The following is a 24,802-nucleotide window of genomic DNA, read 5'->3' as shown; positions in this document are numbered from 1 at the left end:
GAGACAAGAGATGTTGACTAAAGTCTATGCAGGGAAGTTACTTACACCCTCCTAGGTCCAAAAGCTGCCCACTGCCTCTGGAGTGTTAGAGCAGAAAGTGGGCAGGCATGGGCAGGGCCATTGCTGCGGGAAGTTAAGAGGCACCAGAGGACAGTTCTTCCAACTTAGACGGTTTTTGTGAAGTGAAAGCAGACTGCAGGCCTCCAGCACTGGCGCAGACTCTGACTGGTGCAGGCCTCTAACACTGGCATGGATTTAGCAGATGAGAAAGATGGGTCTCCTTACAAATACTGGTCACTAGTGAGTTGGGCCTTGAGAGACAGAGAAAACAGGTATCTGCCTAAGGTGTGTCTGGTTAACTATATTGGCCCTTGAGGTAATCTACAATTTAAGGAGTTTTAGTTCCTCTAACATTTTAAGAAATCATTCTCATGTTTGAGTGCCATGTTTATAGTACCAATTTTGGGGGCCAGGGTGGGAAGATTGCCCTGAGCAAAGCTGTCCATTTTCCCATCATCTAGTTGGTTTTCATGGAGCGGCCCACCTGCTCCCCACCTCAGGAGATACTGGAGGACTCTAGCCCTGCGGTGGCTGTGGTCAGGCCAAGGGCAGGCCAGGCTTCCTTCCTAGGCTTCAGTTCATTCCCCCATCTTGCTGCCAAGGTACCTTTAGATGTTTTGGTCCCCTAAAGCATTTAAACAGACTGTCGTGTAAAATGCTGTCTGAACAAAGTCTCCCATGAACCCACGGCACAGTGTGTACCTGAACCTCCCAAGAGAAATAGTAAAATCACCACATCATCAAGTTGCAGCTCAGGGACTACGTAGCTTTAGTGGTGATGTTTGCAGGAAAAGGTTTCAGAGAAATTTGAAAATTGGCAGGTGCACTTTCTTGACCTTTCCAAAAATAGTCTGAGTCACTTTCACTTTCAGCCTTCAAACTGTGTTGAATGAAACCTTTGTGCAGTTTACAGAAAGTGAAGAACTGTTTGGCAAGAGAGAGAAGTTCGAGCTCCTAATAGCCTCGGCTGCATTGAGTAACATTTCTTTTGAGTTGTCTATTAACACTTTCCTGAAACATGCTTTTTATGACGCCTAGAACTTGTGTAAGAGTGACTGTAATTTGAGTTATTTAAAAATGTAAGTACAAGAAATGTGTCACACGCCATAAGAGCTAGGAAATGACAGCTCACATTCATCTTGGTGGAAGGAAACTCTAATTATTGGAAGATGTGATTGGAGTATTTGTTCTTAATACCTACGGTGGCTCTGTTATATGCTTGCCTAACACCAGTATTGGCTTGCAAATAACACTGAAAAGCTCCTTTCTTTTCCTCTGGTCTTTGTGGGAAGGCATGGTATGAGTCGAGATTGCTAAACCACTCTTCTGAGAGGACTCAGAGAGAGTGTTTATCCTAGACTATCCATGGCCCTGGTACTTCTGAGTTCAGTTGTGGTGTGATCTCATTAGTCCAGGCTCAGAATGGCTCGGTAACCTCAAAACTCCAAGCCCTCGGTGCTTGCTTTGCTTCCCTAGACTTGCAGCTTATGTACGCCCACATGTGCTTCATGCGTATTAAAAATGCTTGCATGTGTAGATAGGAAGATATATGTTGACTGTCCTGAAAAACTTGACATACCTAACATTTAAAATTGTTTTGAGTTTCCCCCGGGGATAAACTAGTCTTCAAATGTAAACGTGATGAGCAGCGTAGGGGCTATGGTACCAGAGAAAAGAGCCGAATCTCGGCCCTGGTCCAGCCCTACCTCTCGTGCTCTGTCACCTGCAGCAGAGGTGGAGTGGGGGCCATGTCTGTGAGCGGGACCTCATCTTGTCTATTCCTCAGACCCACCCAAGGGCAGGGATTCCCAAAACTGCTGGTACCTGTAAGAGGTATTGTATTCTTGGACTCCATTCCATAACCTCTCATCAGGATTCTGGGTTTGGAACTCTAGAATCAATGTTGAGGAAAAATAGAACTTGGCGATTTTATTTTTCTAGATATAATTCACATACCATAAAAGCCACTCTTTAAATTGTACAATTCAGTGGTTTTTTAGTATATTCAGAGTTGTACAGCCATGACCACTAGCTAATTCAGAATATTTTCATTGCCTCCCAACAAGCCTAGTACTCATGAGTAGTCACTCCCTTGCCCATTCCCTCCACCCCCAAGCCCCTGGCAACCACTAATCTACTTTCTGTCTCTATGGATTTGCCTATTTGAGACATTCATATGAATGGAATTATATAATATGTAGACTTTTGTATCTGTTTTTTTTTCATTTAGCATAAAAATTTTCAAGATTTGTCCACAGTGTAGTGTGTCTCAGTACTTCTTTCCTTTTTATCACTGAAAATACTTCATTGTATGTATATGTCATATTTTGTTATCTACTCATCAATTGATGAATACTTGTATTGTTTCCACTTTGGCTGTTACAAATAATGCTGTTATGAACATGTGTGTACAAGTATTTGTGTGGGTACATGTTATTTCTCTTGGGCATACCTACAGATGGAATTACTGGATCATATGACAACTTTATGTTTAACTTTTTGAAAAACTACAAAACCAACAAGCTGTACCATTTTGTAATCCCACCAGCAATGAATAGGGTTCTAATTTTTCCACATCTTCATCAATATTTGTTATTGATCTTTTTGATTATAGCCAATCTAGTGAGTGTGAACTGGTATCTTATTGTAATTGTGATTTTGATTTGCAATTCCCTAATGATGTTGAACAGATGTTCATATAATTGTTGGCCATTTATATAGTCTTTAGAGATATATCTGTTTTGCCCATTTCTAACTGAGCAAAACAGACAAAAATTGAGTTGTGAATGTTCTTTATGTATACTGTATACAAGCCCCTTAACAGATATATGATTTGCAAATCTTTTCTGTTCTGTAGGTTGTTTCTCCATGTTCTTGTTGGTATGCTTGGAAGCATAAAAGTTTTTATTCTGGTGGAGTCCAGTTTATTGTTTCCTTTATTGCTTGTACTTTTGGTGTCGTATCTAAGAAACCACTGCCTGATCCAAGGTGATAAAAAGTTTTCATCAAAGAGTTTTATAGTTTTAACTTTTATATTTATGTTTTTGATAAATTTTTTATATATGGTGTGAGGTAAGCATCCAGCTTCACTCTTTTGCACATTGATATCCAGCTATTCCAGCACCATTTGTTGAAAAGACTGTTTTCCCCCATTTATTGTCTTGGTACCCTTGTCAAAAAAAAAAAGTTAACTATAAATGTAAGAGTTTATTTCCAAACTCTCAATTTTACCCCATTGATCTTCTGTCTGTCCTATGCCAGTACCACACTATCTTGATTACTAGAGCTTTGTAGTAAGTTTTGAAGTTAGAAAGTGAGAGTCTGTCAACTTTTTCAAGAGTATTTTGGCTATTCTGGTTCCCTTGTGTTTTCATATGAATTATAGGATTAGCTTGTTGATTTCTACCCCGAAAAACGCATCTAGGATTTTGAAAGGCATTATGTTAAATCTGTAGATCAGTTTGGGGACAGATGTACCCTCAACAATATTGTCTTATCTATGAACATAAAATGTTTTTTTCTATTTAGTTCATTGATTTCTTTCATCTGTTTTGTAGTTGCCTCTGTATGTCTTGTATGTCTTCAACTTCTTTTGTTAGATTTATTCCTGAATATTTTATTCTTTTTTTTTTTTTTTTTTTTTTTGAGATGGAGTCTCACTCTGTCACCCAGGCTGGAGTACAGTGATGTGATCTCTGTTTACTGCAACATCTGCCTCCTGGGTTCAAGCAATTCTCCTTCCTCAGCCTCCCAAGCAGCTGGGACTACAGGCACTTGCCACCACACCCAGCTAATTTTTGTATTTTTAGTAGAAACGGGGTTTCACCATGTTGGCCAGACTGGTCTCAAACTCCTGATCTCAAGTGATCCTCCCGCCTCAGCCTCCCAAAGTGCTGGGATTACAGGCATGAGCCACCATGCCCAGCTAGAGTATTTTATTCTTTTTGATGCTACTGTAAATGGGATTGTTTTTTCTTTTTTTTTTTATACTTTAAGTTTTAGGGTACATGTGCACAACGTGCAGGTTTGTTACATATGTATACATGTGCCATGTTGGTGTGCTGCACCCATTAACTCGTCATTTAACATTAGGTATATCTCCTAATGCTATCCCTCCCCCCTCCCCCCACCCTGCAACAGGCCCCAGTGTGTGATGTTCCCCTTCCTGTGTCCCTGTGTTCTCATTGTTCAATTCCCACCTATGAGTGAGAACATGCGGTGTTTGGTTTTTTGTCCTTGCGATAGTTTGCTGAGAATGATGGTTTCCAGCTTCATCCATGTCCCTATGGGATTGTTTTCTTGATTTTATTTTTGGATTGTTCATTGCTAGTTCATAGAATTACAACAGATTTTTATATCTTGATGTCTGGCAGAAGCACAGTTATTTACTCTGAACTGATTTTTTAGTTCTAATCTTCTTTTAGTGGTTTCCTTAGGAGTTTCTATAGGATCCTGTCATTTGCAAAGAGATAGTTTTACTTGTTCCTTTCCAATCTGGACGCCTTTATATTTTTTTCTTGTGTTATTTCCCTGGCTAAAACCTCCAGTGTAATGTTGAATAGAAATGGCAAGAGCAGACATCTTGTCTTATCCCTGACCTTATTCCTGACTATTACTTATAATGTGAACAGTGGATTTTTTTTTTATGGAGGCCCTTCATCAGGTTGAGAAAATTCCTTTCTATTTGTACTTTCTTGAGTGTTTGTTTTTTTTTTTAAATCAAGAATGGGTGTTATGGGTGTTGGATTTTGTAAAAATGCCTTTTCTGCATCTATTGAAAGGAGCATGTTGTGGTGGATTTGTCTTCTATTGATAATTGTTACCACACTGATTAACTTTCAGATATTGCACCAACTTGCATTTCTTGGATAAATCTCTTGGTCATGGTGTATACTCTTTTTTTTATGTTGCTGGATGTGGCTTGCTGGCATTTGGTTCAGAATTTTGGGGTCTGTCTTCATAAAAATATTAGTCTGCAGTTCCCTTGTGATGTCTTTCACTGGTTTGGGTCTCTGGGTAATACTGATTTCATAGAATGATTTAGGAAGCATTTCCTTCTCTATTTTTAGAAGCGTTTGTGTAGGATTGGTGCTAATTCTAATGTAAACAGTTGATAGAGGCCGGGTACAATGGCTCACGCCTGTAATCCTAGTACTTTGGGAGGCCGAGGTGGGCGGATCACGAGGTCAGGAGATCAAGCTCATCCTGGCCAACATGGTGAAACCCCGCCTCTACTAAAAATACAAAACTTAGCTGGGCATGGTGGCAGGCACCTGTAGTCCCAGCTACTTGGGAGGCTGAGTCAGGAGAATCGCTTGAACCAGGGAGGCAGAGGTTGCAATGAGCTGAGATTGCACCACTGCACTCCAGCCTGGTGACAGAGTAAGACTCCGTCTCAAAAAAACAAAAAAATATATATTGGTAGAATTCACCAGCAAAATCATGTGGATCATATCTTTTCTTTGTTGGAAGTGCTTTGATTGCTAACTCAGTCTCTTTATTTGTTACAGCTTTCTACTTATTTTTTATTTCTTTTTGAAGAACTTTCACTAGTTTGTACCTTTTTAAGAATTTTTCTATTTGATCTAGGTTATCTAATTTGTTCACATATACTTGTTTGTAGTATTCCGTTATAATTCTTTTTTATTTCTATAAAGTCAATAATAATCCCCCCCACTCCCACTCCCAACTTTTCATTCCTGGTTTTAATATTTCTATCTTTGTTTCTTGGTCAGTCTAGCTAGGTTTATCAGTTTTACTGATCTTTTCAAAAAACCAACTTTTCATGTCATTGATTTTTCTTGATGGTTTTTCTTATTCCATAATTCATTTATTTCCATTCTAAACTTTATTATATCCTTCCTTCTGCTTGCTTTAGGTTTAGTTTGCTTTTATTTTTCTAATTTCTTAACATAGGACATTAAGTTATTGATTTGAGATCTTTATTCCTTTTAATATAGACATTTGCAGCTATGCATTTCCCTCTAAGCACTGCTTTAGCAGCATCCTGTAAGTTTTGGTATGTTGTTTGTAGAAAAGAGTTAACATAGCAGACCTGAATGGCTATCACTGGGAAGGATTGATTGCAGGGCTGGTCCTTGGCTGGCTTTTGGGAGCTTATCAGCATTCCCAGACCTTATAAGAGTTATATCTAAACTGTACAAACCATATGGTTTATACTAAACACATGCTTTCTTTTTAGGAAGATGGAATTTGGGTATTTGCCAGGTGGAATATGCCTACATGGCTAGCCCCCAGCAAAAACTCTGGGCTTTCAGTCTCTAATGAGATGTTGGCAACATTTCACAACATTTCATGTGTTGTTACATTAATAATTTGTTGCTGGGGAATTAAATACATCCTAGGGACTCCACTAGGAGAGGACCCGTGGAAGCTTGCAACTGGTCTCCCCCATCTCTACCCTGCATTTTTTCCCTTTGCTGTTTTTACTTTGTATCCTTTTGCTATAATAAATAATAGCTATGAGTATGACTGAGTCCTTTAAGTCTAACTAGTGATTTACTGAACTTCTGACACGTGGTTTTGTTTTCATTCATCTCAAAGTATTTTTAAATTTCTCTTGTGATATTTTTTCTTTGACTCCCCTTTTTTTAGGATTGTGTTCTTTAATCCACATACTGGTGAATTTCCAAATTTCCTTTTTTTACTGATTTCAAATTTCATTCCATTATAGTTGGCAAACATACTTTGTATAAACTTCAGTCTTTTTCATTTTATTGAGACTTGTTTTATGGCATACCATATGGTCTATCCTGGAGAAGGTTCCATGTGCACTTGGGAAGAATGCATATTCTGCTATTGTTGGAGTGTTCAATAGATGTCTGTTAGGTCTTCTTGGTTTTGTTGTTTCATTCTTTTATTCCTTGTTGATCTTTTGTCTAGTTGTTCTATCCATTTTTTAAAGTGAGATACTGAAGTAGGCATATTATTGTTGACTTGTTTATTATTCAACCATAATAGTTTATTATTATTCCTGTAATTCTATTAGTATTTACTTCATGTATTTTGGGGCTTTGCTGTTAGATGCATATATGATTATAATTATGTCTTCTTGATGGATTAACCCTTTTATCATGATAAAATATGCTTTTTCTCTAGTAACCATTTTATCCATTTTAACCATTTTATCCTTAAGTCTATTTTGTCTAATATTAGTATAGACACTTCAGCTCTCTTTTGGTCACTTTTTGCATAGTATATTTTACCCCGTTTTTACTTTCAGCCTATTTGAGTCTTGGAATCTAAAGTGATCTCCTGTAGACAGCATAATGTCAAGTCATGTTTTTAAATGTAAAGGCTCATTCTGCCTTTTAATTATAGTGTTTAACCATTTACATTTAATATAATTATTGATGAGGTAGGGTTTATATCTGGCATTTTGCTATTTGTTTTCTACATGCCATGCCTTTTTGTTTCTTTCTCCATTACTACCTTCTTTGTGCTTAATGGATATTTTCCTGTGTACTCAACTACCATTTTAATTCCTTTGTCATTTCTTTTGCTATATGTTTTTGACTTGTTAATAGCTTTTCTGGAAATTACAATTACCATCTTGACTTACACAATCTTATGGAGTAATACCAACTTAATTTCAACAGTATACAAATTCTTTGCTCCTATGTAGCATTGTATCTTCCCCCATCCTCTGTGCTTTTATTGTCATACACATTAAATCTTTATGCACTGTAAGTTCATCAGAACAGTTTATAATTATTGCTTTATGAAGTTGTCTTTTAATTGGAGAAAAAGAAGTTACAAATGAAATGAAAGTTACAAATGAAAAATATACTTACACTGTCTCTTATATACATAGTTACCTTTACCAACACTCTTTTTTTTAAAAACTGTGGATTTGAGTAACTTTCTAGTATCTTTTCATTTCAATCTGAAGCACTCCCTTTAGTATTTCCTGTTGGGCAGGTCCGCTAGGGACAAATTCTCAATTTTTATTTATCTTGGAATGTCTCAATTTTTCTTTCATTTTTGAAGGATGATTTTGTTAGTCATAGGGTTCTTGATTGAAGCCTTTTTCCTTCAGCACTTTCAATATGTCATCCCACTGCCTTTTGGCCTGCATGGTTTCTGATGAAAAGCTATCTTAATTTTATTGTGAATCTCTTGTGCATGATGGGTCACCTCTCTTGATGCTTTCAAGATTCTCTTTTTGTCTTTGTCTTTTGACAATTTGAGCATAATATGTCTCAGTGCGGATCTCTTTGAGTTGACTCTGTTTTGTTGGGCTCTTGGTTGTGTAGACTCATGTCTTTGTCACATTTGGGAACCTTTTGGCCATTATCTTCTCAAATACTTTTTCTACCCCTTTCTCTCTTTCCTTTCTCTCTGGAACTCCCATTATGCATATGTTGGTATACTTGATGGCATCCCATAGGTCTCTTGACCTTTGAACAAGACCTTTGATTATTTTCCTTTAATCTTATTTCTCTCTACTCTTCAGATTTAGTAATTTCTATTGATAAGCCTTTGGGTTTACTCCTTCTTTCCTCTGCCATCTCAAATCTGCTTTTGAGACCATCTAGTGGGTTTTGCATTACAGTTATTGTCATTTCAATTTTAGAATTATTCTTTGGTCCTCTTTAAAATGTTTTGTCTTTATTGATATTCCAAGTTGGTGAGGCATCATTCTCATACTTTTCATTAGTTCTTTGAATATATTTAAAATAGCTGATTTAAAATATTTTCTAATACATTTAACATCTGAGCTTTCTCAGGAACAGTTTCCATTGAATGTTTCAGTTCCTTGTATGAGTCATACTTTATTTCTTTAGATTTCTTACAATGTTTTATTGAGTAATGAACATTTTAAATAATATAACATGGCAACTCTAGAAATCAGATGATCCTCTGTCCCATCCTAGGTTCACAGTTGTTTGTTATTGTTGCTATTTGTGTATGGACTTTCCTGAACTAATTCTGTGTGTTTTGTTGTGTGTGGTTCCTGAAGTCTCTGCTTGGTTATTTTAGTGTTCAGCTCTTGACTGGACTCAGATTTCCTTAAATGCCTTGAACCAGTAAATCTCCAGCTCTTGCTGAAGGGCTCTCTATGTTGGGGCATGCCTTCAATACACTGACAGGCAATTGGCAACTCGGCCTTAGCCTTCACTTCCTCCTTGTGCAGAGCCTTAAGGTCAGCCAGAGGTGAGAGCTAGGGCCTTCTCAAGTCTTCCCTGAGCTTGCATACAGCCCTCACATGCACATGGCCTTCTAGATTTCTAGGAATATGTCAGAGCTTTTCATAGCCCTCTATGGACATCTCATTCCCCAGTTTCTGTTTTTATGTTTTTTGGTCAGCTTCTTATTTGCCCCAACTCAGGCAGCTTTGATGCTAAACAATCATCACTGATTTTTTTCCTTAAACACCCTGCAGGAAAAAGCTCTCTACAATGAATGAGGTCCTAAGTTAGGTCAAATAAAGACAAGCCGTGTGAATGGGGGTTTTCCCCATTATTAAAACACCAGAGAACTGCTGGACATATCAGATAATGACAAGTTTCTGGGAATAGGGCTTTGGGGATGCCACAAAGACATTCATTCTCCTATGGTGGCTGCTGGTTTTCATGGCTGCCGTAAGTGTGAGACTATTAGTTTTCAAGGTGTGTGTGGCTCTGGGAAGAGGGAGTGGAATAGGGCAAGTTAAAATTCCACAAAGTGGCTCGGTGTGGTGGCTTAGGCCTATAATCCCAGTACTTTGGGATGCCGAGGCAGGCGGATCACCTGAGGTCAGGAGTTTGAGACCAGCCTGGCCAACATGGTGAAACCCCATTTCTACTAAAAATACCAGAAATTAGCTGGGTGTAGTGGTGGGCGCCTGTAATCACAGCTACTCAGGAGGCTGAGACAGGAGAATTGCTTGAACCCAGGAGGCGGAGGTTGCAGTGAGCCGAGATCATGCCATTGCACTCCAGCCTGGGCAACAAAAATGAAACTCCACCTCAAAAAACAACAACAATAACAAAACAAATAAAATGCCACAAAGCTTGTTCTTACTGAGATTCAGCCACTTTTCGTGAATGAATGCTTCTCAGGTTGTTGCAAGCTTTTGGCTAATTTCTGGGGTTCTGAAAAAGTTTTGACAATTTTTTTTTTACAATCTTTGGCGATGTTCTCATTGTTTATATGGAGGAGCAGATTTTCTGGAGGTTCTCACTGCACTATTCCCACTGACATCCCTTCCCCCTCCCCAGCTGATTCTAATGCAACCAGGTATACCATGGGCTGTTACTGGCAAGGTGTACAAGGTAGCTTTCTGACTTCTGGTACATCAAAACTGATATTTATTGAATTATTATTACAGCCCAAACTATTGACTATACCTCACTTCCCAAATGTCAGGTTTAGTTGTAGTCAAGGTAGGAGAGGATTTACTGCTGTATTGTCTTTTAAATGTCTGCTCTGAGTCTAGACCCAGGAAACAGAAATAGGCTGCTCCAGCTGAGGCTCCCCTTGCCTGGTCATGAGGTTGGATGATCTGTGAGGGATCTGTTCATTCAGCCCTTAGTTGCTAAACTAACAGCCATAAACCAAAGCAAAGCAATGCATAAATGCAGCATTCAAGTAGTAAAAATAAAAAGTATTGAAATCCCAGCACATATAGATGTCTTATGTTTTAGGACAACTTTTCTTCCACACTGTTAAATTCATGTTCCACTGTTAGACATTTAGATTATGATGACAAAATCATTTATTAATTTGAGCTTTCAGACCTTGAACAGGATTTCATGTACAGTAAGAGTTTGCTAGTAATCAAATCGAAGAGTCCTTTCCTTAAAAAAAAAAAGTAAAATGAAGATGAAATTTAATTTCCAATATATGTTAGGGAACCAGATATATTCTAGTTGGTACTAGAATGTATAATTAGCCCTTGGTGAAATTTCAGAAGACTTTCTAGGTTAAGATATTATTGAAAACAGTCCCTCTACACCAAGGCTACTTTGAGGGTAGAAGATAACGCGTGAGTCATCTCACCTCCGGCAGCACTGTTACCTCTCAGAGCTTCTCAAACACAGTGGCCATTGTTGTTACCACGGCTAATTATTAGCCTGCTCCAACAGAATTTGTGTTGATGTTACAAAAACAGTTTATGCTACACAAGCTCTTTATTCATGTAATAATTACAGCATGTTTGTCTTAAGTATTTCGCAAGTGTTCTCTTTGGATAATACTAGCAAGATTAAGTAATAGTTTCTCGCTAACAGTATTGCTCAAGAACATCAAACGTGATGGATTGGGATTTGATATATGTATGTCTTTGGCTTCTAGCGTCTTTGACTTTTTGCGTTGCTTACATATAAAATACTCTTCTTGTGGGGGTATGTCTATTGTTTCTAATGCAAATGCCAGGAACCACTTGAGCAAAATATTTGATATCAGTTTTAATGGAGAGTTTTTATAATGATCAAGAGTAATATAACCAAGCCAGCAACAACACTGTGCCAGAAGCCAGGGACTTCAAAGAGTCTTCCTTTTAGAACTCCAAAAAAAAAAAAGAAAGAAAGAAATTTATGTTTCTCCATATCATCCAACTTAATCATTGGCAATAAGTGACTTGGCAAGAAGCATGCATCACATGGTTCGAGTTCTGCATTGGAAAAGGTCAGCAGGAGGCACAGACACTGGCCTGCATTATGCAGCTGTGTACTCTGATCCCATGACACGTGCTTTGGAGCACGTTATGCAATGTTACACTGCTGATTAATGGCCGCTTGCACAAGAAGTTTTTCATTACCCCTACTGCAAGCATCCTGGGAATGATTAACTTTGTGACATAACTTTCATCATACAAATATGGAAGATTTAAACAGAATTTCAAAATAATGTGCTTCAGAAATAACAATGAGTTTTGGCTTCTTAATGCATACATGATTAAGAACTATTTTAAAGCCACTGGGTGAAATCAAGACACCTATTTGGGAGTTGCCTTTTTTTTAGGACTAGGGTTTCATGTGAGATTGGATCATGCATGAACACTCTTCTACCCTATTTTAATTTTACCTTTATTCTAGTTTGATGTTGAAGATGTCAGACGTATTTTACAGTGCTTAGCTCTTATGAGCTAAATATTGAATATACTAGTTGCTTTTTTAAACATTTTTGGAGCCACAAAGATATGACTCTTATATTGTCACACACAGTGGAAAGTTATGGTGATGCTTGTTTTTGAGTCCATGTAACTAAAAAGGTAAACAACTAAAATTCTGCATTTTGTTGAAGTTTGAATCTTAGCAGTTGAGTGCAGTCTGAAATACTGGGTGCACGAAGACTGTATTGTGATGGCAGAAAGTCAACCAAAGTAGCTTAGACGAAAGGAAACTTCATTGGCTCTCAGCCCCAAACTGTGGAAAGACAGGGGAGCCGGAGTCACAGGGCTGCCAGGACACTCCACTCCCCACCATGTGTTTGTAGTCTCTGGTATGTGGCTCCATCCTTTGGGCCTGTCCCTGTAGACCAGCTCCACCTGATGACAGCTCCCAACTGCATGGCCCCCCAGCAGGAAAGAGGGGTCATGCTCTTCACTCACTTTGAACTCAGAAACTCCCAGGAAAGGCCTCTGATAGGCCTAGCTCAGATCATATGGCCTCCCTGTGGCCAGGGTGGTGGGGTACTATGATTGGAGGAGGGAGATCTCTTCAGGAGAAGAGAGGGCTGCTGTCATGGACCCAAAAACAAAGCAGCCACCCAGGCCAACCTTGACTCAGTCAGCCGTCCTTTCCCCCAGATGACCCCTACATGCCTTAAGGCCTCTCATAGACACAGTCACAAACCTGGGCATCCTGCTCAGTAAGCATCACCCCAGGGTTCTGCCCAGCTCTGAGTCCAGATCTCTAGGTCACATCCATTCCTCTAGAGGCCAGGCGTGGCTCTGCAGAACAAAGCGGCCTATGGCCTCAGTGCCCAGTGAGGGAGGCAACCGCCTACTGGGGGCAAAGCATACAAGGGCTCCAGCCCACACCGCATTTCACATCACGGGAAGGGACTAGAGAGTTGATTGATCCCTTGGCCAATCTCGTGACCAATGTTCTTGCTGCTAGGACTCTTTCCTAGAGGAATATTGGAGAAAATTTTTCCGCTGGGGTCTTATCACCTCATTGGTCCATGCACTACTTCATTTTTGTTCGTGCAGTCTTAGAGAGTCCTGGAGGTTGTCAGGGGCTGAGAACAGACCTCTTAAACCTTATTTGGCCTTTCATAGATTTCATGTGGGGAGGGAGTCCATAGTCCACCCTCTCTCCAGATGTCAGCCACATGGCATCTAAGAACCACAGGAAGTAGGGCTTCCAAGAAGGGACTTCTGGTCTACCCTAGCACGTGGCGTCCCCCAGCAAGGGCCTGGACCAGCCCAGATCAGGGGAGGAGCTCAAGGCACTGTCAGGGAAGTGGGTCAACCATGGAGACAGGGCATTGAGAAGGTGCCAACACCTGTATCAAAACTCTTCTGGAGGCAAGTAACAGACCCAGCTTGAACTGAACGAGTCAGGAAAAGGGACTCCCTGTGCCCAGCCAGGGAGCCACTGGACTGCTGTCTCAGGACTCTGGGAACTCAGTCTTTCTTCTCCCATCTCCCCATCTCCTCTGCTATCCAGCTTCCCCTGTGGTAGGAGGATATGGCCCCTGGCAGCTCCCAGGCTCCCAGCCACAGAGCAGGGTGCTCTTAATTGCCACTCTGCTCAGAGATGTTTGGGGAGGATGAGGGCCCTAGGCCAGGGGGGAGGTGTGGTAATTGGTAGTTGGTAGCCCTCATTAGGACGTCGTGATTGGGGTGGGGTAGAAGCCCACCATACCTGGCTTTCAATTCTAGCAGACGGCTACATGGGTATTACTGGGCTTGTTCTTGTCCCTGTGTCTCTAGGTTATTAGTGCATTTCTTTGTTCACCTTTGGACATGCAGGATGGCCAGACACCCGATGTGTGGCTTGTGGACCCCAGCAAACCACAATGCAAGATTCTCCAAACCCCTATTGCCACCAACTGAGTAAATACGCTTGGCACAAAATGGGCTACTGTCTTCCTGGTGCTGTAAGAGTTGTGTTTAATGAAATACCAAGTCATCATTTGATTCATGTTGGTTGTTTGTCATTTTGTTTTCTCAGAGGAAGACAATTGTCCAGTTACTCTCATGTTGGGCTCCTCAAACTATTTTGAAGTTCATATTCAGAAAAATGGGAGCCCGGCTGGGCACAGTGGCTCACACCTGTAATCCCAGCACTTTGGGAGGCCGAGGCAGGCGGATCACGCAGTTAGGAGATCGAGACCATCCTGGCCAACATAGTGAAACCCCATCTCTACTAACATACAAAAAATTAGCTGGGCGTGGTGGTGCGCACCTGTAGTCCCAGCTACTCGGGAGGCTAAGGCAGGGGAATCGCTTGAACCCGGGAGGCGGAGGTTGCAGTGAGCTGAGATCGTGCTACTGCACTGCAGCTGGGCGACAGAGCAAGCCTCCATCAGAAAGAAAGAAAGAGAGAGAGAGGAAGGAGGGAGGGAGGGAAGGAGAGAGAGAGAAAGAAAAAGAAAAGAAAGAAAGATGGAAATGGGAGCCCCTACTTTTTGTTGCTTGAGGAGCAGTTCTAAGATTTTCTGCTGCAAGTGATCAGGCAACACAAGTGAACTTGTCCTAAACAACAGAGCCTGTTTCTAAATACAACTTCTACAGAAGAGAATACTTGTTTTTCTTTCTTCTGAACAGTTGACACGGCCCCGAAGTTATGTAAGATGAGTTAACCTGCAGCGCTGCCACATGTTCTTGTGAGAAGTTAAACAAGGAGAGGAAAACAGGAGGGAGGAAGCGGTAACTTACCAACTTCCTCCCGTCCGAAGTCCTTGATTCCAACTCTTTCCTTCGAAGAACAGACTTTGTGATAACCTTTACTCTTGATTGCTACGTGACAGCAGTGGCGGGGTGGGGGGTTGTAAATGGCACAGCGGCGGGTGCGGCGAAATTCGGGGTGCGGCCCTAAGCCACACGACTTTCCGCTGCATCGAGAGGGTTGTGCATGTGCTCAGCTGAGCCTCGGTGCTTGGAGCAAGCGTGTGCAACCCCAAGGCCCCCGACCGCGACTCGCTGCTAACATTCTGGCTTCACCGAAAGCCAGTGAGTGGTTAAACACTGACTTCTGACCCCTGCTCCTCCGGCGATCTGTCTTGCCCCTCGCATTCCTGCGGGTCCCGGGCTGGGGGACGCTGCCTACGTGCGGCGGCTGCCCTTGCGCGGCCGAAACGCCGGCTGCTTCCTGGAACGCGGTGCAGATAAGAAGCCGCTGCCGGGCTCGGGTTTCAGAAGCGCGCCACCGCGGGTTACAAAACCCTGTGTCATAATTTCACTTCGGATTTTTTTTTTTTTCTTTCCTAGTGCTGGCTTCCCGCAGAAGGACGTTTTGTGTGTTAGGTCCATGTGTGCGTGTGTATTTCCTTTTGGTAATTATTTTGGAAAACGTTCAGAGGCTAAAAATAGAGAAGCCAGAAGCCTCCTTGCTGCGCGACTCGCGGCCCCAAGCTCTCCAGCGCACAGGGTCCTGCTGAGACACAGCGACGACCACCGTGTGTCCCCGAGTGCCCGAGCCCCGTGCCGGGCCTGGCCGCTGAGGACGCGCTCCCCGCCACCGGCTCATTTTCTCGGTTCTAAAACCTTCAATGCCCGTCGCTAGCAACTTAATCTGCGCTCTAACTCGCAGAATTCTTTTGACCTGTTGGAGAAAAATAGCATTTTAAGATGTGGGTTATTCAAGAGGGTGGAGTCGGCTAAGTTTAGTGGACGCTAAAAATAGCCCAGCGGTGCGGGCGGGTCAGGCCTGGGGGCGCCAGGACCTCCGCCCTCACCCTGCCCCCTACGGGCCTACGAGCCGCAGCCCTCCCAGGGCCTGTGCGTAATTCTAGCCAAGGCCCAGTGTCATTTCCAAGAGGTGCCTCTCGGCCGGGTTACTCATATGTCAGATTCCCATTCTCACGTTGTGTTTCACGCAGCAACTGCATTTCCAAAGAAAAGCGTGAGTCACTACCAAGTGGCTGCAGAGGGAGGGGAGGGCCACCATACACCGGAAGAAAGGGGGGGGGGGAAGGGGCCTTTTTATAGCGTTCTGAGCTGGCTTTCTTTTCCATAGGTTAATTTTTATCTTAACTACCAAACTTAGGCTGGATCGCCTTTTTATAAGAAATCTATTTAAATACAAGGGATTATTTGAACTTCTTTTTAAAAAGCCAAGGGCATTTTTTGTGTGGTTCTCAGCTTATAAATAAAATATATTAATAGTTGTTTAATGGGCATTTAAAATGCCAACTGCCTGTGACTGTTTTTAGTGCATTCTTCAAACACCACTTGGAGACCTGAAACTGCCCCCTCGGTTCAGTCCACAAGGGGACTGCCACCTTGCCATGGGCCAGGTATACCCAGCCCAGCGAGGCCAAGCTCATTGCTCTGAACAGATGGTGATTTTCAAACTGAATGCTATTCTGGTGTACTTATTTAGGAACAAGATCTAAAAATAGACTTGAATGAGCATAACCTGCAAAAATAAGTTGTCAGCTTCTTTTTACTCCTGGAGGGTTGAAAACAAAGCTGTCAGCAATTTCTGCGAGCTGAGGAATCTGTATACTTTCTTATTTTAGAGAGAGCTTTTTCAGTGGGACTGTAATTGAGTCCCCTTAAATCTTTGTGTCAACAAATTACCATCTGTTGTTCTAGAGACTCTCAAATTGGTGAGACTCGCTGCTGCTTACTGCCGGGGTGGAGGGGGATGCTATCGTTTGCCCTTGTGGACATGAGCTTTGGAGAGGGAATGGGTGCCGCTGGTATCCGACGTCATTGCAGGAATGAGTCCAGGCTCTGCCAGCCCCCATTACCCAGACCCTGGGGTCTTGTAGAGGTAGTGATTGAGAGATGCCTGGGAGTATGGGCTTGGAGACAGGGGTGGCACTGAGGTGGAGAGGAAACCCCAGCCAGTTTTGGCGGGGCCTCAGGGGAGTCTCAACACCTGTTGGTGGCTGGGGTCATAGTAGCCCAGAGCGCTGGGTTTTGAGTAAATCCATGAAGCGCTCAGCCCTTCTTTATAAGGTACTTGGTGTAGCCTTTGTGGCAGGAAACCACAGGTAATGGGGACAACAGAGGGCCTTTGTCCCCAGTCTGGCACATCCACACCATTTTTCTGTGAAGTGACCGCACGTGCTGACCTAGAGAGAAGTCAGAAATGGAACTGAGCCCTTGTTTCTTCTTGGAGAGGAGTTCCCCTGAATATGGGAAACCGAATGAGGATGGAAATGGCCCCTCTCTCTGGATGGAGGATGGTGTGCAGAGTGGTCCCCAGACTCCGTACCCTTTGGAGGTCAAAAGTCTAGGCCCCAGCAAGCCCTAGACTTGGGATGGCTGGCCCTGGGGCTGCCCATCCCGTCCAGAGAGCTTGCCTGGCTCCCAGCAAGGTTCTGTGCCTTCAAGCAGGGGAAACGGGCTCTGGCCAACAGAAAGTGAAATGAGTGGCATTAAACTCAGCAAAATCAAGTCCTGCAGATCCGCCCCCAGAAAGCCTTTCTCACCCTGGTGTGTTTAATTTTGCAGGTGCGCCTCAACTCCAAACAGCTCTTTTAAAACAATTTGCCCACCAATAGGATTTGCGATTCTGGGGATTAGAAACTTTCTCCATTCAGCATTTACTGTATTTTAACCTCCATGGGAATGCTGTCTCAAAAGAATGGAAACAAATCCTGGTTCCTACTTCCTATGCTCCCAGGAAGCACAGATGTGCACGCATGCGCGCGTACACACACACACACACACACACACACACACACACACACACACAATGTGGAGAAGAGTGATTTCTCCTGGGTTGGGGATGGTGACATATCTGAGGACAGAAAGGAGGAAGAGAGCTGCCCAGGGGCTGGGAGGGGCTCCAGAGCCAGGCAGTGTCTCAGAGGGTTACCTCCACCTTGGGCTCTAGGAACCACCAACTCTCTGCAGTCATCAAAAAGGACAAGGCCGAGGTGCCTGCGAGGTCTGGGCAGATGTCACTGGGGCACTGAGGGGCCTAGAGAAAGTGTTGGCAGCTCCTGCCTTTTCAGTCCCATGGGAAACTGCCCGGCCATCAAATGGTCTTGTGTTAGCTGGTAAATTAACTTAATGTGACCTGTTTGTAAAAGGGGCTGGGGGGTGGGGGGAATTATGTTCATTACGTTTCTCAAGGGCTGAGTTGGGACTGAAGCCCCCACCCCTGCCCCGCAACCTATGCCCATGCATATTCTTTTTAAAGGCAGACATCACTAGATATTGCCAAGAAAAGCCCCAGGTTCCCGAGGAAGCTGCAGTGTGGTCTGGACACCCTTGCTTCCAGCGGGTGACACTGAGGAAGACAGTGGGGAAATGCCATGTGTCTTTCTGACCTAGCAGGATGAATCTCACAGCCCCTTCTTCAGACCAAAAGCACATCAGTGAATCAAAGATTTTTGAATATTTCAAAATAATTTTAAAAGATGCCATCAATAAGTCCAGTTCCTAAATGCATCATCTTTAGAGAAAATGAAATTTTTAAAAGGAATAAAAAGCACATACACAGTGACTGGGCATGGTGGCTCATGCCTGCAGTCCTAGCTACTTGGGAGGTTGAGGCGGGAGGATCATTTGAACCCAGGAGGTTGAGACTTCAGTGAGATATGATGGCACCATTGCCTTCCAGTCTGGGTGACACAGCGAGACCTTGTCTCAAAAAAGAAAAAAGGGGGAAAAAGGGACATAATGCTTCACAAATTAAATGGAACAGGCCAATGAAGCTTTGATGGTCTTTGAACTCTTAAAATAATGACTGTCTTGGCATGGACGGGGCAGGCTGATCCTTGGGCTGCTTGCTGTGGTCCAGAGAGCTTACCACCTGTGCTGGGACTGGGGACTGCTACCTGCCTCAGTGATGTGGTTCTGGAGAGAAAGTGCCTGGCAATGGAGAGAGGCGTGGGAAAAGAACCTGCCTCAGAAGATACAATCATGCTGAGATCCGTACAAAGAAATGAATGGGGATGATAATGATGGTGCGTCAGGGAGGATCCCAGGCTGCAGCCCCTGGTCCTATGCAGGAAGGGTTATGTGTCAATTCTGCTATATGTCAAGCGCCATACATTACAAGAAAGTATCTAGGTTTTGACAAAACAATTTAAATTCTAGGAATTTGCCATAACCCAGTATGTACACAGAGAATGTTAATCTTGGAGTTAGGGGAAGCCTTCGTCAATGGGAAAGATGGGATAAATGCATTAAAGTTCATGCACTCTATGCAGCAATTGAGAATCATGTTGTAGGGGTGTCCATATAATTATCATAGGAAAAAGTTTACTATGTGCTGTTATATTGAAAAAGCAGGTTACAGTTCAGTAAGCACAATATAATCATATTTTCATGTAATAAATATAGTACATGCACCTATTCTAATTTTTCTACAATTGTATTCATTTTCTATTGCTGCTGTAACAAATTACTACAAACTTAGTGATTTCAAACAACACAGATGCATGTATCATTGAGAGTTCTGTAGTTTAGAAGTAAGTGGTTCTCACTGATGAATGTGACGGTGTTGGCAGGGCTGTGTTCCTTGCAGAGGCTGTAGGAGAATTCTCCCCTCATCTCTCTGGCTGCCTTCGGCCACCCTGTCTCGTGGTCCTCACCTCCAGCTCAAAGTAGCAGCAGGAGGTCGAGTTCTTCCCACACCACACCAGACACCCCTGCCTCCTCATCCACAGCTGAGGACCCTGTGGTTACACTGAACACACCTGGGTGATCCAGGATTCTCTCCCCACTTCAGGGTCAGCTGATTAGCAACCAGAATTCCATCGGCCACCTTGACTCCCCCGTGCCACGCAACCTAACATTCACAGGGTCCAGGGATTAGGGCATTGCTATGGTGCTGATGTGTGTCCCCTCCACATCCATGTTGAAATGTGATTCCCAAGGTTGGAGGTAGGGCCTCGTGGGAGGTGTTTGGGTCATGGGGGCAGACTCCTCTCAAGGGACTTGGTGCCCTCCCCACAGTAAGAAGTGAGTTCTCGCTCTGTTAGTTCAGGTGAGATGGAGTTGTTTGAAAGAGTCTGGGACATCCCTGCTCTCTCTCTTGTTCTCTCTCTTGCCATATGACACACCCGCCTCCCCTTTGCCTTCCACCATGATTGTAAGCTTCCTGAGGCCTCACCAGAAGTTGAGCAGATGCTGGTGCCATGCTTCCGGTACAGCCTGCAGAACTATGAGCCAAATAACCCTGTTTTCTTTATAAATTACCCAGCCTCAGGTATTTCTTTATAGCAAGCAAAACAGACTAATACAAGCATGGATATATTTGGGGGCCAGTGTTCTGCTTACCACAACAATATACATGTATTCATTTTAATTAGACAAGAAGAGCTAGGAAAGCCAGAAAGCTCTTGTCATTTTGTATCAATTTTCATTTCAGCATTAACATTCCCCTTCATTTCTGTAACCGTAATTCCCATAATTCTCAGTGTTCTAAATTTACATTAATCCAATCTCATTCACTTCATATCATAGCTTTTCCATTTCTATGTTCTTGATTAATTAGGCAATTTTATTTTACTTTTGTTTTCCTAAAATGTTCTGTATTTCTTGAATCCTGGCAATTTTGAAAATACGTGTCTATTGCCTTTGACTAGAGTAATTAATGACTTACCTGGGTGTCAGATTCTTGGGCACGATTTTTTCCTCTCTGATGATCCTGAGGATCTTTTCTCCTGGCATTAAATATTGCTGGTAAGAAGTCTAGGGATAATTGAGCCCTCTCCCCACAACAGTTCTGTGAAGAATTGTTCATTTGAAGCCACTAAGACTGTTGCAGTAGAAAACTAATATGGTCATGCTGCTGAGGACCCTTTCTGGGATTCCTTAAGCCCAACCATATTCCAGACTGGGTTGAGGTTGTCCAGTCATGCTGTCTCAGCGTGAGATGCAGGCCTCTGCCCCAGACCTGCCCAGCCCTGGGTGGATGCCCAGCTTTGTCTACTGCTCCCACTTCCTTCACAGCTTAGGGAGGGAAAGGACAAAACTATATGGATTTTAGCCCAGAAATGGCTCATCTGTGGGAGAAGGGACCCTTAACACAAGACGCTTAGTGTGGCCTTCTTCCTGGGCTGCCCAGGGTTCTGGCATTGCTTTCTTTCCCCTGTGGTAAATTTCTCTGTGCTCAACATAATGAGCTCAGGGTGGCCAACTCCAGCCATGCTTGCCACCAAAGACAGTCAAGCGGGGGTCCTGACGGTTGTTCTGCCCCTGGGGAGAAGGGGCCTTCCACTCTCAGTGGGAGTTGGAGTCTCTCCCTACGTGGCCTCTGTTCCTGGTGGGCAGGGTGTGTCCACCTCCCTGAGGTGCGTGGCCTTCAGGGAGGAGCCCTGGGATCTTCTCACCAGCTGTCTCTAACTTTATGGTGTGGGGCTGATCCTCTTTCTCACTGTGAGTGCAGCTGGCATTTTATTTTTCTGTTGTTGCTCTTCTGTGGATATGTACTTTGTAAGGTTTGGGGCGGAAGGTTTCGTCAGCGCCCATCTTTCCTGGAGGACGACCTGAGTTTGGAAGATCTGGAAAGCTCAGTGCCCTGCACCTCCCCCGGGGGCTTCATTCCTCCCTTCCTGCACCTTCCTAGGGACTCCATCTCTCCAGCCCCCCCGAGAGGCTGTGTTCACTTTTTATCCCTCCCATTTCACCTAGTGAGAGACGACATGCATTTCTAATCCATTGAAAGGAAGATTTTACAACTATTTTCTGACTCCTCTAACTTTTAGAAATGAACTTTACCTCAAATATCTACAACTCTATTCCCCAGTTGACAGCTAAGAAGAGCACATAATCTCTTTACAATCAAATAAGCACCATATAACATGGACTGTGCAGTCGGGCAGGTGGGAATTCAACCTGCCTCTCCCATTTGCCAGTTGATAACTTAGTCTCTTGCCTCTCTGGATTTTGATTTCTTTGTTAAAAATTTAAAAAGGTGGTAATAGAATGACTCATGGCTGCAGTGCATGGGAACTGCCTCACATCCTCCTGGCAGGGTGGGGAGCAGGAGAGGAAGCTGAGGTGCAGTCACAACAGTGGCCTTAGCTGACCCCACAGGGAACACCAAGCTGGATGGCCCTGCAGAGGGTTCCTGAGCTTGGTCAAGGGGCTTTAGGTCCACATGAACTAGTCGCTGGAGGCAAAGGGCCCCCAGGAAGGGCTGAGTCATGGGACAGTTGCCTCTCTCAGTGGAGGCCAACAACCTCCCCACCCTGGGGAAGAAATTCTTTGTCCCCAATGGAGAACCTGGGTGGCTCCCAGTGCCCATGAGTAAGTAGGAAGCTGTTATTCCTTCTGAGAACTCCCCTGCTACCCCAAGTCTTCTGCTGATCCCCTCAGTGACCTGGCTGGAGCCAGAGGGCACGGGACTCCAGGTGATCAGCTTATGGTGGCAGGACAGAAAATGGGTCTGGGCTCAGGGCAGGCAGAAAACAGCACACCCAGCATTGAGGGCCACCTGGCTTCTCCCCCGGGCCCGTGCCTGGTCTTCAGGCTGCTCACCTGGAGCAGATACTGCTGCCTCCCTCGTGGACACATCACTGGAGGCAGCCGAAGGGCTTGTCATCTAAAGGGCTTCATGAAATGAAGCTCAGAGTTTGGCTCTACCGAGTGCCTCTGTGGGAGCTGGGACATTGACAGTGTGCCCGGGTCATCTTTGCAGCCAAAGCCATGTCCTCCCATTTCTCACTTCATTAGCAGAACACTATTCCCAAATGTTTGATTTCCCCGGGAGCAGGGTTGCAAGACTGCTCCTAAACTCATTTCCAACTCTTAATAATAGAAAGCCATCTCTCTACAGGGAAGAAATGACTTTTCTTGGAGATACTCTGGGCTTTGCAAACATTAAACAACTATTAATAAATATGAAGTTGGCCTTCGGTGGCTCACGCCTGAAATCCCAGGACTTTGGGAGGCCGAGGCTGGTGGATTGCCTGAGCTCAGGAGTTCGCGACCAGCCTAGGGTACACGGTGAAACCCCGTCTCCACTAAAATACAAAAAATTAGCCGGGCATTGTGGCATGCACCTGTAGTCCCAGCTACTTGGGAGGCTGAGGCAGAAGAATGGCATGAACCTGGCAGGTGGAGGTTGCAGTGAGCTGAGATCACGCCACTGCGCTCCAGCCTGGGTGACAGAGTAAGACTCTGTCTCAATAAATACGTACATACATACATACATACATACATACATACATACATACATAAAATGAAGTTGCTGGACCAGATGAGGGCTTTAGGCAAAGAAGCAGGAAGGCTTTTTCTATCTGGCTTGCTGGGCATGTGGCCATTTCTCTCAGTTGTGGAGAAGCCCAAACCTGTGTTTGCTCTGTGAGGGGCCTGAGGGGCCTCATCTCTGGGCCATCACTTTGTTCTTGGTAGAAGGCTTTTGCCGGCATCTGTGACCTGAACCTTCAGCACTTGCATGATGCAGGTAATAAGCAAAGTGGCTTCTAGGGCATCTATGATGTCTGGCAGAAGAGCTAGGGAGCTGTGGGCTTTGGCAAGTGTGAGGACTCCTGAGACTGAGGAACCAGCCACTCGTCAGGCACAGGGGCTTGCATATAACCAAGGCTGCTCTGTGTAGCAGTGAAGAGAGCAGGTGATTTTTTTTTTTTTTTTGAGACAAAGTCTTGCACTGTCGCCCGGGCTAGAGTGGCGCAATCTTGGCTCACTGTAACCTTTGCCTCCCGGGTTCACGCGATTCTCCTGCCTCAGCCTCTGAAGTAGCTGGGATTACAGGTGCACACCACCACACCTGGCTAATTTTTTGTATTTTTAGTAGAGATGGAGTTTCACTATGTTGGCCAGACTGGTCTTGAACTCCTGACCTTGTGATCCGCCCACCTCGGCCTCCCAAAATGCTGGGATTACAGGTGTGAGCCACCACACTCGGCCAGTGTTTGTGTTTTTAAAGTGGCTTTGTGAATCGTTTTTTGGGGTTTGCTTTTTGTTGAGGAACTTTTGAAATGGTATCTCTAACATTCTGGATTATCTAAATATCTCTGGATTTTTCTCTTTCTACTGAGTTTGAGTTGAACAGAATTGTTTTTGAGCTTCAATGTCCTATTAAGAGGTAGGATTTGTTTTCTGTAATTTAGTCTTGAAGATAAGCAGCCGGCCCCTCTGGAAGTTGTCCCTCAACTGCCATCTTCATGCCCTCATCCCGAGCTCTCTGGGGTATCACCAGGAGCACCTCATTGGTGATGTGAGTGTGCTGTTGTTATCAGAGTGGAAGCCCCTGGAAACACTCCGTTAGGGAAATGTGTGTCTGTTTCTCTGGGTGCCCGGGGTCAGCAGAGCACCTATAGGCACAGGGGAAACAGAGGAACCTTATGGCATTTCAGTTACTGCTGTGTAACACAACATCCCCAAATATCATGTGTCAAGCAATACAACCTTTTCTTTTTTTTTTTTTTGAGATGGAGTCTTACCCAGGCTGGGGTGCAGTGGTGCGATCTGGGCTCGCTGCATCCCCACCTCCTGGGTTCAAGCGATTCTCCTGCCTCAGCCTCCCGAGTAGCTGGGACTACAGGCGCACACCACCATGCCCAGCTAATTTTTGTATTTTTGGTAGAGATGGGGTTTTGCCATGTTGGCCAGGCTGGTCTCGAACTCCTGACCTCAGGTGATTCACCCATCTTGGCCTCCCAAAGTGCTGGGATTACGGGCATGAGCCAC

At 43.9% G+C, this 24,802-nt stretch overlaps 1 long non-coding RNA gene across 1 annotated transcript, besides 8 other annotated features; it reads right to left on the bottom strand.

Annotated features, from left to right (window-relative positions):
- Positions 681–740: an enhancer, noted in NCBI's record as "active region_28586". NCBI's record gives its function as "activates an Ori minimal core promoter by ATAC-STARR-seq in GM12878 lymphoblastoid cells {active_cell/tissue: GM12878}" and the evidence as "EXISTENCE:reporter gene assay evidence [ECO:0000049][PMID:35858748]".
- On the bottom strand, positions 10,763–16,135 carry LOC124902208 (uncharacterized). Its single transcript, XR_007061660.1, has 2 exons — positions 16,041–16,135; positions 10,763–15,779 (listed from the first exon to the last, which is right to left on the bottom strand). It is a non-coding gene; the product is annotated as an uncharacterized LOC124902208 (long non-coding RNA).
- Positions 13,196–13,490: an enhancer, noted in NCBI's record as "tiled region #9930; HepG2 Activating DNase matched - State 2:TssF, and K562 Activating non-DNase unmatched - State 6:EnhF". NCBI's record gives its function as "activates a minimal TATA promoter and a strong SV40 promoter by Sharpr-MPRA in HepG2 and K562 cells {active_cell/tissue: HepG2 | K562}" and the evidence as "EXISTENCE:reporter gene assay evidence [ECO:0000049][PMID:27701403]".
- Positions 14,447–15,314: an enhancer, noted in NCBI's record as "H3K27ac-H3K4me1 hESC enhancer chr9:93956125-93956992 (GRCh37/hg19 assembly coordinates)". NCBI's record gives its function as "activates a minimal SCP1, AML or CMV promoter by ChIP-STARR-seq in naive and primed H9 embryonic stem cells {active_cell/tissue: H9 hESC(naive and primed)}" and the evidence as "EXISTENCE:reporter gene assay evidence [ECO:0000049][PMID:30033119]".
- Positions 14,447–15,477: a biological region, named in NCBI's record as "H3K27ac-H3K4me1 hESC enhancer GRCh37_chr9:93956125-93956992".
- Positions 15,218–15,477: an enhancer, noted in NCBI's record as "active region_28585". NCBI's record gives its function as "activates an Ori minimal core promoter by ATAC-STARR-seq in GM12878 lymphoblastoid cells {active_cell/tissue: GM12878}" and the evidence as "EXISTENCE:reporter gene assay evidence [ECO:0000049][PMID:35858748]".
- Positions 15,896–16,190: an enhancer, noted in NCBI's record as "tiled region #6399; K562 Activating DNase unmatched - State 5:Enh, and HepG2 Activating DNase unmatched - State 1:Tss". NCBI's record gives its function as "activates a minimal TATA promoter and a strong SV40 promoter by Sharpr-MPRA in K562 cells, with weak activation in HepG2 cells {active_cell/tissue: HepG2 | K562}" and the evidence as "EXISTENCE:reporter gene assay evidence [ECO:0000049][PMID:27701403]".
- Positions 17,157–17,326: an enhancer, noted in NCBI's record as "experimental_109154 CRE fragment used in MPRA reporter constructs". NCBI's record gives its function as "activates a minimal promoter by MPRAs in K562 erythroleukemia cells, with activity observed for the introgressed 9:93954198 variant allele {active_cell/tissue: K562}" and the evidence as "EXISTENCE:reporter gene assay evidence [ECO:0000049][PMID:34662402]".
- Positions 20,623–20,792: an enhancer, noted in NCBI's record as "experimental_109153 CRE fragment used in MPRA reporter constructs". NCBI's record gives its function as "activates a minimal promoter by MPRAs in K562 erythroleukemia cells, with activity observed for both the introgressed and non-introgressed 9:93950732 variant alleles {active_cell/tissue: K562}" and the evidence as "EXISTENCE:reporter gene assay evidence [ECO:0000049][PMID:34662402]".

Source organism: Homo sapiens, chromosome 9 (assembly GCF_000001405.40).
Source record: "Homo sapiens chromosome 9, GRCh38.p14 Primary Assembly".
Classification (NCBI taxonomy): domain Eukaryota; kingdom Metazoa; phylum Chordata; class Mammalia; order Primates; family Hominidae; genus Homo; species Homo sapiens.
The sequence above is the reverse complement of the archived record's forward strand: the minus strand, read 5'-3'. Positions and strand labels throughout refer to the sequence as shown.